This window comes from Homo sapiens, chromosome 3 (assembly GCF_000001405.40).
Source record: "Homo sapiens chromosome 3, GRCh38.p14 Primary Assembly".
NCBI classification, from domain to species: Eukaryota; Metazoa; Chordata; class Mammalia; order Primates; family Hominidae; genus Homo; species Homo sapiens.
The window spans coordinates 141,552,090-141,564,090 of record NC_000003.12 but is presented as its reverse complement, the minus strand read 5'-3'; the positions used below and the strand labels follow the sequence as shown (position 1 = coordinate 141,564,090).

The window sequence follows — 12,001 nt, the reverse complement described above, 5'->3', positions numbered from 1 at the left end:
TCCAGAAGGGTTCACTCCTGCCATACTTTCTAAACTTGTTTCCTTGGATTTTCTTTGCAGGATAAGAAATCCCCATAGACAAAATATCTCATCTATGTCTACTTGAAAAAAAAAAAAAAAGACTTCACAACATGTTGTTGTTTTACCCATCCCTTGAAAAGATCATTTTTTAAATGAGTAGGGAACTCTCTGATTCTCTTTTATATAATATTTTATAAGCAAGGGACACTCAAATCTTTGCTAATGGCTTAAAAGAATGTTTTTGAGTTTTAAATATATTCAGAAATATGCCAGAGTTCAAACTTACAGTACACTGGTTAAAAGCACAAACTTTGGGGTCAAACAGTTTGGTTCAAATCCCAGCTGTGTGACCTTAGACAAGTTGCTAAATTTCTCTGTGCTTTTTCCTCATTTGTCAAATAAGGAGTATTAATAGTGTCTTAACACATTAAAACCCTACAACAGCCCTAAAAAAGTTATTATAAGTAAAGTACTTAGAATAGTTCCTGGCACACAGTAATCACTATGTAAATGTTACACATATAACATTTATATATGTGATGTATAACTATTACCACTTAAATATATGAATAACTATCAATAGTCATTTGTATAACTATATAAATGTGATTATTTTAAAATATTATTACAAAAGCTCAATTTAATAAACTGCCTGAAGGATCCTTGTGAATTAAATAATTCTGTATGAATTAGAGCTAAAGAGAAAAGGCTCAAGATTTGTTAAATAGTTCAGGACTATCTGGCATTTCTAAGTGAAAACAAAACAAAAAACTCATATATATATATGTCAGTTTTTGAATGAAATATTTCCGTTTGAAAGAAAAAGAAACAGGGAATAAAGAGAAATTTTTAACTGAAAGTAGCATTCAGTTGCTCTAAACATGTACTTTTCATTCACAGGCATAAAAGCAATCCTTATGCTCTCAAGAGTAAGCAGTTTTGACAGTCCCTTAACAGAAAAAAATCAGCATTTAAACAATTCTAACCATAGGGTCTGTGTAATTAAAATTGAGGTAGACAAACCCAAAGTGCAATTATTTGTACATAATGCTATGTAAATGAGAGAATAAAGAAGCAGTTCTATTAATAACTGAACGTGGGCCAGGTGCGGTGGCTCACGCCTGTAATCCCAGCACTTTGGGAGGCCGAGGCGGGGGGATCAAGAGGTCAGGAGATCAAGACCAGCCTGGTGAACATGGTGAAACCCCATCTCTACTAAAAATACAAAAATTAGCTGGGTGTGGTGGCGGATGCCTGTCATCCCAGCTACTCAGGAGGCTGAGGCAGGAGAATGGCTTAAACTCGGGAGGTGGAGATTGCAGTGGGCCAAGATGGCGCTACTGCACTCCAGCCTGGAGACAGAGCGAGACTCCGTATAAAAAAAAAAAGTTTAACGTTATTTCTGGTTTTTTTTTGTGTGTTGTTGTTGTTTTTTGTTTTCTTTTTTTGAGACGGAGTCTCGCTCTGTCTCCCAGGCTGGAGTGCAGTGGTGGATCTCAGCTTACTGTAAGCTCCCGCTCCCAGGTGCACGCAATTTCTCCTGCGCCAGCTCCTGAGTAGCTGGCACTACAGTTGCCCACTACCAAGCCCAGCTAATTTTTTGTATTTTTAGTAGAGATGGGGTTTCACCATTGTTAGCCAGGATGTCTCGATCTCCTGACCTCATGATCCGCCTGCCTTGCGCTCCCAAAGTGCTGGGATTACAGGCTTGAGCCACCGTGCCAGGCCTATTTCTTTTTTTTTTTTTTTTAACTGAAGACAGGAGACTTGTTATATTTTCTAAATTCAAATATTAAACAGATACGTTAAAAATGTGAGACCAAAGGCTGGGCGCAATGGCTCACAATCCCAGCACTTTGGGAGGCCGAAGTGGGCGGATCACGAGGTCAGGAGTTCAAGACCAGCCTGGCCAACATAGTTAAAACCCCGTCTCTACTAAAAATACAAAAATTAGCTCGGCATGGTGGTGTGTGCCTGAAGTCCCAGCTACTTGGGAGGCTGAGGCAGGAGAATCACTTGAACCCGGGAGGTGGAGGTTGCAGTGAGCCGAGATCATGCCACTGCACTCCAGCTTGGACAACAGAGTGAGGCTTTGTCTCAAAAAAAGTAAGACCGCCCCCCCACAAAAAAAAGTTTGAGGACAAAAGGTGTCAAAATTAACAAACTGGAAAGCTAAATCATATCAAATATTCATCTAGTCTAAAATCATGTATAAAGTGCTTCTGTTGAAAAGAAAAACCCAGTAATTCATTTTATCTATTATTTGAATCTTACTTTCAAATTTAAAAATTAATCTATTTTGAGACTTTTCAAACAACAGAATTAAATTACTGATGATTACTCTCTTAACATCAACATTAGAAAGAATTTGCCTGAAATCCTGAGGGTAAATAAATCTTTTCTTGAGTTTTCATGCAGTTACTAACAACCCCACAAGGGGATGCTATGGCTCTACAATTGATGGAGGAGGTTAAGAGTTTTATTTCCAACTTAAAAGAAATGGCATTCACATTTTTATGTTTCCTTACAACTGTGGAATTATATATGAATTACCAGATGTTCCTATTTCATGCTATATAAATTTCAGCACTTATATTTCTGGCAGGTTACTTTAAAATATCATGGGCCAAAAACATCTATAAAAATAAAATTAGTTTGTTAATGTTCTTACATACTGCCAAGGAAGCTGCACAAAGTTTTGCCAAATTTGGAAGGCATCTCTGGAGACAGTCTTACTTAAAAAACAGATTATGTGGCACATTTCAAGTTCATTTTGAGGGACCCGGAGGCACTACAACGTGTTTTTCTCTTCTGTACTGAGTGGTCTGGCACATAATTTTAAAAACTTGACAAACTGAGCTCAGAAATTTTCATTTTAAAATGTATGCTATTTGATGGAAGGTGGAAGACATGGTGTAGTGGGAGGATGACAGGTCCCAAATCTTCATCAATTTTTCATAGTGACTACATTTGATTTTTTTCCCCCTCTGTGGATGCATTTTACAAACTATAATACACAAAATGCCAACATAAAGACCAATAAATCTTAGATCTGCCTTGGACTATAGAGAGGCAAAAATAAAGTAAAAATTTTGAGAGTCTCCATATCAGTCTACAAGTGATAACTGCTCTAGGACAAGACTCTAAAATGAAGATGTCTGATGGCCAATCAGAAGAGGCAGGCTCTTTTAGGAACAGATGAAACTGATATCCATAAGAAACACCTAAACACTCCTCTTTGAGGCAGCAGAAACTGAGATCCAAAAAGTGCTCCTTAAAAGGCAAATGAGAAAGGCATGTTCATTTATACCCAGTTGAAACCAAAATCTAGCAAGAGAGATGCTGGGCAACATACTGAAAGGATACACACGCTTTTAAGTGCTATAGACAGAAAAAAAACAATAGTTTCACATTGATTCTGCTAAGGAAACTAGCTCAATGTAATGTCTGAACATTAATTTGAATTTAACATCAGTGTAATGTTATTATTAGAGTCACTGAAAACTAAAATAATATTATAGTCATTATTGAAAACCAAGAGCCCTAAAAAGTGCCAGCTCAACAACATAAGACCTTAGACATTCAAAAAGTAACATTAGGGCCATCTACAGTACATTTCAATGGGGTGTGGTGAAGGAAGAACAGTGGTTAGTTCCCATAAACAACTGAGTCCCCTAAATAAAATCCTTTGCTTTCAAATACCCACAGTTCCTATGACCACTAATAAAACTTCTGAAATGCAGACACTGATTTGTGACCAAGCGTTTTCTTACATGAACAACTCTTATGTAATGTTTTAAATGTTTCCCATTTTTCTCCTTAAGAGTCGTCTTCACTTCTGAACAGAAAAATATTCCTAGATGATTCAGTTCTTTTATCTCAGTACCACAGGTCAAGTCATAAAACTTACAATTTACTTCTGCAACAATGAATTAATGAACATATCAATATTAATGACGTTTAGCTTATTACATGGCAAATTTAAAATATGTTCAGAGTAAGCATTTATTTGCATATATATACTGTACTAAAGAGAATTAAACTATGGAGTTCACTAAAATGCTGGGCCCTTACCAGGCTTGATGAGAGGAATCAGTTCTTAATACGTTCACAGGAACCTTAATCTCACCTAGGAAAACATCTTGGACTAGGTTTCCATTGTTCCACAAGTCGATCCTGAAAATTGAAAACTGGCTTTATGTTTTGCAAACAATGTTTAAGAGAGTTCACACCACAAAACAGCTTCAAATTACTTTGATCTGTATTACAGCATTAATTTTACATGCTTAAAAGATGTTAGCAACACCATATACATACCTCACTATCCAGACTAGAGAAGCAAAATACTACAGCAGCTTTTATTTAAAAAGCACAGAAAGTAATTTTAAATAGTCTGAAAGAAGGCACTTAAACTGTCTTAGTTTGAAAGTCGAGGCTTTATTTTAACCTATAGCAATAAGGACTACAGAAAGAAACTACAATAAGACTACAGTTTCTCTCTAGATTACCACCAATTAATATATATATAGAAAAATTAGAAAAATACATTACCTGATCACTCCAAACACATGATTAATATACCATCTAGATGAACACACTGTTAACATCACACCTACACATGCATTTATAAGATTTTTCCTTCGCAAAGGGCATAGATATTTAAGACCCAGGAAACAGCACAAACTTCAAACACATGCACCTGTTGAATTATCTTCTTACCTCACTGAAATTTCTGTTAGACAGCAGATATGTTAAGAAGAATAAAAAAAAATTTCTAAATTGGCTGAGATATAACTTCCTTTCCATCCATTACACTATAATCCAGAAATGTAAGGAACAATTTGGGAAAAATTAAAAATCAATACAATAAAACAGATGAAAATTAGATCATCTTTGTTTATAAAATTAATACACTTTGACTATTTCTGCAAACAAATCAGACTTTGGAAAGATAATCTGGATTTAAATTAGTTGCATATTCCTCTAAGTTTCATCAACCAACTTGCTATAGAGAATTCTATTAAAGTTGGTTTACTTTTTTTGGTTGAATCTAGGATTTTCTTTTGGTATACAAAAAAGCAATTCTGTAAAACCCCAAGGCACATACCTGATTTCTAGCTTTTCAATGTCCTCCTCTTCTACCTGGAACTGGGACTTTCTGGTGTAACTACTGGATCTGGTTACCTGTAAACAAAATATTTTAGTAAAAATTTTTTTTAAAAAAATACATTTTTCCTACAGCTTAAAAATGATCATCTGCAAAATATTCAATTGTGGATAAAAGCAGAGGAAAATGTCCAAGTAATATTTTACTCAATAGCTGAATATAAAAGCAACTATGGAAGTAGCAGAAAAGAATAAGGTAGTGTAAAAAAAAAATCAAAATAATACCAGCTTGTTCATCTCACTCAAGTCTAAGAAAAATTCTCCCCTTAAATTATGGTCTTCCTATCTCTTTCCTTTCTTAGACAAATCTGAAAACTGCAATCCATCCTTACAGCTTGTACTTCCTCACCACCCACTCACTATAGTAACTCCTTATAATCTTGGCTTCCTCACAGATCACTCTCCTAAAATCTCTCTTCATCACCACATCTGACGATAAATTCTCAGTTCTTACCTCCCTTGATCTCCTATTTAATTTAGTGATCATACAACTGTATCTCCTTTCCCAGAAACACTCTATAGAATTTACCTGGGCACTACCTTGGCAACCTTATGCTGCTGTCTTTGTTTCTTTTTCAGAATCTATAGATAAATTATTCTTCAAAATTTTATGTTTTATTTTGCACTAAAAACAACTTGGAGCTGCACAGTGCTGTACAATCTACAAAGTGCTTTCACATGCATTATCTCCTTTGTTCATCAGAACGCTGCTCAGAGGCGGACAGGGCTAGATTTATTACCCTCACTTAAAAATGAGGAAGCTGAAGTACAGAAATTAAATGACATGCTGAAAGTTAAATACTTGAGTCGCAGAAATTAGTTTCTTCACTTTTCTCCTGTATTGTATACCTCTATTCTCTTGGCTTTCTTGGCTGTTTATATAAACAAACCTTGAGTGTTGGTCAATAACTATCACTCATATTAAGTTTCAGTCATAAACTCCCTACTGGAGGATTTAAAATGTCAGCCCTCAAGCTAATTATGCTCCAAACTAAGCCACTTTTATTTTCCTTCTTCCCTACTCTTCTATTTTTCCAGATTTGGAACCTTGGGGGCAGCATTCAACTACTTCCTTTCTCTTTTTTTCTATAACCAATTTGTTACCTTGCCCTTTGCATTCTCTCTTTTATCTGCCTCTTCCTCTCTATTTCCATAGCACTCTCTTGAAAGATACCCCATCCCCTCCCCATTTTTCTTACACCTAAAGTACAACAGTCTCCCCAGCTTTGTTCTTTCTCCCTAAGCCACCTGGACCTCAGATCATAGTTAATTCCTTCCCAAACACTGTTTTACTCATAACTTATAGGCTCAAAATCATTTACTTAAGCACCATAACTAGGCACTCAAGGCCTTTCATCAGCTGGTCTTACTCTACCTTTCTAATCTTAGTTTCCATTATTTCCTTACACAAGCCCAGTAAAATCAGTACTCACTGTACTTTGGACATAACTTTCTGCTTTTCTGTCTCTGTGCCTCTGCTCAAAATGTTCGTCATCTCTAATACTCTCTTTCCTCAATCTTAGAAAATCCAATATTTCTTCAAGCCTTTAATGGAGCAGAGTTCATCTGACCTCCCCAATATCTACTGCATTTTACTGTTGTGTATATGCATACATATGTCTGCTTTGTGTTCCTTGCTTCAGTTAAAGGACAGAGATGGAAATGTATCTATCTTTATAACCAACTAAAGGCCCTCTGAATGAATGTTGCAAGGCCTAACAAGTACTCCTGCTACAGCAGGCAGGTCAGGCCTTCTACTTTTAAAAGGTCATCTGCTGACTGTAAGGATCCATGAAGCAGAGTAGATTCCATCCAGCTGAGGTTTAAGGTATGTGGGCTAATGGGGAGTGTGAGTGCCTTTAGTCAGCGGCCCTTTACATTGCTGCCTTCTTTGTTTTCTCCAGGTTAGATGCAACCGCCATTAATAAACGTAGAACAACTGCACCAAGTCCTTAGCCAGGAAATGGAAAAGTCTCACATTGGTACTTTTTCTTTTGTTTTTTTTTTCTCCCTTGCTTCCCCCTCCACAATTCTTCCTGCTTCACTTTTGGCATTTTCTTCGGCCTGTGTTCCTTTATTAAAGTACAGCAATCAGGCATGACTAGAGGTACCGTTATTCTCTCCACTGTGAAATACCAAGAAAAATACACACAGAAGAAAAGGCACAAAATGTAACTCCTTTTTTCAAACCTTCCCTACACGTTGATATGAACTGCAACATGCTTTATTAGAATACAATCTTTTTGAGAGTTTGATTTTTTTTTTCTGTAGTTTGCAAATAATATGAAAAAGGATTTCTTTAACAAATGCTCCAAAGAAAAGCACTCCAAAGCTTTTGTCCAAACTGTATTTGGGACAACTTCAAGGCAGCTGAAGCTGTCTATGAAGATAAGCAGGCGTCCACAGAATGAATTAGGCTTAAAAAAAAAAGTAATAATAAAGCTGTAATCATAAAGTATTTTATGGTCTCAAAGGATTCTCACATGCTTTGGGTCTTACAAAAACTCTGAGTCAGGTAGTGCTGCTAGTTTCCCTTCCGATTATTCTTTCACAGGATAAGAAACTTGAGTCACATTTAGTGACTCTTTCAGTCAACTTGACTGGAACTCAGATTTCTTGAGTGATAATTACACTTACTTCACTAGTGACTGTCAAAGGGTACCCTGCAGAAGAATCCTGTGGCCACTATGTGTTAGGTAGGGAGCTGGGTAGGGTAAGGGAGGGTGCAAAGGAAGGGCATGAATAGTGAGGATGACTGGGGAGTGGGTATGGCCCTGGCCCTTCCTGCTCCCAAATTAGAGCTCTGCCTTTATTCATTTTATATATTGGGCATCCATTGCATCACACCATGGTTCTACTGCTTTCAGGAGAGAAATGCTTATCTGCATTAATTGATAAAATGATTACTATGACTGTGGTTTGAAAAAAGAAATCAACTAGCATTAAATATTACATATTTAATGTTAACATTTACGTAAAACAAAAAATTACCTCAAAATAAAAGATTTCATTAAACTGCGGATTGCTTGTTTTCTTCTTTACTTTTGTCTTCTTTTGGTCATTCCTGTTCCAATGTGGTAGAGTTTTACCTTGTAGAACTTAACAGTACACAATTATAAAACATGCTATTTCCAACCAGGGAGCCTGACCTCCATTTAAAAGTTAAGGTGACTCAGGGAAGATTCAGTTTTAAATATTGCTTGGAAAAAAGTAACTGTCCTTATAAACTCAAATCAAAGAATATATAAGCTTTAGGCATCCCCTATGTGCCAAGATTGTATTATTCTCTCTACGGACACACTAGATTGCCAACCTTTTTCAGGGGTTTTAAAAACACATTCTATTCTATAAGCAACTCAGAATAAATAGAAGGAAGACAATAAGATTTAGAGCACCTTCATCTATGTTGAAAAATACCCAAGGAACTTGAAAAACATTCTTAACTCAGCTTACTTCTTGGGCTTCAGGTATAATAGAGACTTCTTAAAAAAATCTTTTAATTTAATTATAGATTCAGAGGAGGTCACAAAAAACGCATAAGGAAATCTTGTGTTTTTACCCAGCCTCTCCCAGTGTTAACATCTTACACAACTACAGTACAATAGCAAAACCAACAGTGACTTTTTATTTTTTAGTTTTTTGAGATGGAGTTTTGCTCGTTGCCCAGGCTGGATGGAGTGCAATGGCACAATCTCGGTTCACCATAACCTTCGCCTCAGGGTTCAAGCGATTCTCCTGCCTCAGCCTCCCGAGTAGCTGGGATTACAGGCATGAGCCACCACACCCAGCTAATTCTGTATTTTTAGTAGAGACGGGGTTTCTCCTTGTTGGTCAGGCTGATCTCGAACTCCTGACCTCAGGTAATCCACCCGCCTCGGCCTCCCAAAGTGCTGGGATTACAGGCGTGAGCCACCTGCGCCTGGCCAGACTTTTTAAAACACAAATTCATATGCCAAATTGTCTCTAACTGTATGTTACCAAATAATTTGTCAGGTAGAGATTATTAAAAAAAACAAAAATAGCTCCACTAGATTGAACATTTTTAACACACAAAAATAAATCTCTCTAATAGCATTTAATGTCATACGACTGAGTATCTGCTAATAGCATACTATTGTTTGAGCACCTAATAAATACCGGCATGGTACTAGGTACTTTACATACATACATAAATACATTTTTCAAAGTGACTTAGTAGTGATTTTCTACAAAGTAAGAATAACTAGAGATTCTGGGGATGGGGAAAAGGGGTGTGTATGTATGCATGTATGTGTGTGTAGAGGGAATACTGTGTTTCTTGCTTCCTGATTCTAAACCTTCAAGTTGTAGACATATTTCAGATGTGTCAGTTCCTTAAAGAAATCATAATGAAGTCATATAACACACCGTATTACAAAGTGCTATAGGTTTTTTCACAAATTATTATAAATCATTTAAATCAATGATATGGTACACTTTGCCATGCTCTAGTACTTCAGCAGTTTTTCTACAGTTGGAATTCTCTCTGTAGAGGACAGATTTCATGAGTAGAAAAGGCAATTTTCAGTCCTGAGCTGCCTTCCAGATAAAAATATATAAATTGTCTTGTTATTCTGAACTGGCATTCATTAAAACAGGATTTTACATGCATAAAATTCAGGATATTTGAAAAGTAGGAATGCTGATGCATGAAAAGTCAAGTTTATGTTTTAAAGTACTACATTGTACTAGTATAAAACTGAAGTTGTTCCTTAAAGCCTAAGAGCATGGCAGATTTAAAATGGGGTACCAATTTCTGTCTGTAAAAAGAGGGCTTTGTTATTGACAAGTGTATAATAGAACTCACTAAAGATTTTTCTTTCAAAGCATTTATTACTGTGTGTTATAAATAGCTATTTATCATTTGCTCGTAGAATCTTACTTTTTAAATTTTTAAATCAAACATCAAAACTTTAAAACCTAATAATAATTCAATAAATATTACCTAGAAGGGCCCACTAGAGAAACTGTTGCATAAGGGTCACAGCTTTGGCCATTTATGAGAGGCAACCCATGGCATGCCTTGATGCTAAGGTAGAATAAAAGAGATTTAACATATTAGATTCCAGTTAAACAAGATAAAACATTATCTTTAAACACAAACTAATACATTCAAAAGGTTAAGAATTGTTTTCCATGTGTCTGCAGTTGTATGGCTATATACTACCTATATGGAATAGGTAGTAATATGTATGGACATATGTATGTATGCATTTTTAAATTTATGCTGTATTTTCAAAATGAGACTAAACAGGAATGCCACAATCACTAATGAAACTATCAAACACAGACTGAGCATTCCAAATTCAAAAATCCAAAGTCCTCCAAAATTCAAAACTTTCTGAGCACTGACATGATGCTCCAAGGAAATGCTCACTGCAGCATTTCAAATTTGGGCTTTTTGGATTTGGGATGCTTAATGGGCAAGTATATATAATGCAAATACTCAAAAAAAAAATAAGAATAAGAAATTCAAAACAGTCTCAAGCACTGTAGATAAGGGATGTGTAACAGTCAACACATTTCCTTCTGCTAAATACCCAACAAGGTACATTTTGCGGTTTGATAATACATCAAAACTGCTGTGGCCTCTAAAAAGGAAAAGAAAGTGGTGCAAACCCTAAATGAGAAGCTACAAACCAAGCCAGCTCTATGGCATCATATCCTCTGCTAAAGCATGAATGACAAACAAGGAAACAACTGCAGCTTCCACTTAAAAATCTGATTCATAAATATAGGGCAAGCTTCACACAATTCTGCAGCCTTTTATTCCAATTCTCAGTAAACAGCTCCTCAGTAAGCACCATTCTGTAGAAAATGTTTTAGACCATAAAAACCAAGGTCATCTAATCTACTCCATGGCTCACAGTTGTTGGCATTTACAGAGAACACAGAATCTAACTTTAGTGATTTGTTCCTCCAATTTTCTCACTAAATATTACTGAGTTTATGAGTTTAGTTTAATGTCTAAGGGTCTGCATTTTCTAATGCCTAAGAGAAACTCATGAGTGTTGCTGAAAAGTATTCTTTGTTGAAAGATGCAAGCTGTTGAGTACATCCTTATTTCTCTCCACAACCCACAGGTCACAGATGTGAGTGAAGTGCTATTGGTATACTGCAGAGTAAAGACAGAAATGATAATACGACTCATTTCTATTATAGCTGAGCATAAAAAAATAAAGAAAGAAATTTTGAAACTAGCCAAAGAAAACACAAGCCAAGATAATTCTGGGTTTTAATGTTGGGTTGAGGTACAGTCAGATTTTCCCACTGTACATACTGCTTAAAACTTACCCTTCTCAGGCTAAACCTCAAAATGATATCTGACACGGCATTTGCAGTTTACTATGCACTTTCACAAAATGCACCTAATTCTCACAACTGCCTTTGAGAAGAGAATTATGCCATTTAAAAGAAGTAAGGCTCACAGGTTATGTGAGGAAGTTACAAGGTAAGGCTCAAAGAGGTAGCGTAACTTGTAAGAAGCTGGCCAAGACTCAACTTCTACTTTTTAATTTTGTTACTGAAGTCCAGTGCCCTTCTACATTCCCACTGTGCCCCCAAATACAATATTACTGTCCTTGTAATACCACATTTATCTCACATAAACACCAATTATGAGAAACCTTAATGACAGAAATCCAATTTTCTATTTTATGAGGTATAAAAAAAAGCAGAGGAAAATGCAGTACTGACTTATAAAAAACTTATGAAACGATAAGAATACCCACAAACCAAAACACGGATGCCCATAAACCAGAAGTGCACCCTACAGAAATCATCAGTACTCTTAATT

The 12,001-nt window shown here is 36.0% G+C and overlaps 1 protein-coding gene across 6 annotated transcripts in view; it reads right to left on the bottom strand.

Annotated features, from left to right (window-relative positions):
- Positions 1–12,001, bottom strand: part of RASA2 (RAS p21 protein activator 2) — a 128,318-nt gene that overhangs the window by 51,254 nt on the left and 65,063 nt on the right. For all 6 annotated transcript variants that reach the window (NM_001303245.3, NM_001303246.3, NM_006506.5 and 3 more), the window contains 4 exons: positions 10,151–10,234; positions 8,179–8,251; positions 5,129–5,205; positions 4,096–4,197 (listed from right to left, as the gene is read on the bottom strand). In NM_001303245.3, coding sequence (NP_001290174.1) covers positions 4,096–4,197; positions 5,129–5,205; positions 8,179–8,251; positions 10,151–10,234 — 336 coding nt within the window. The remainder of the gene's footprint in view (positions 1–4,095; positions 4,198–5,128; positions 5,206–8,178; positions 8,252–10,150; positions 10,235–12,001) is intronic.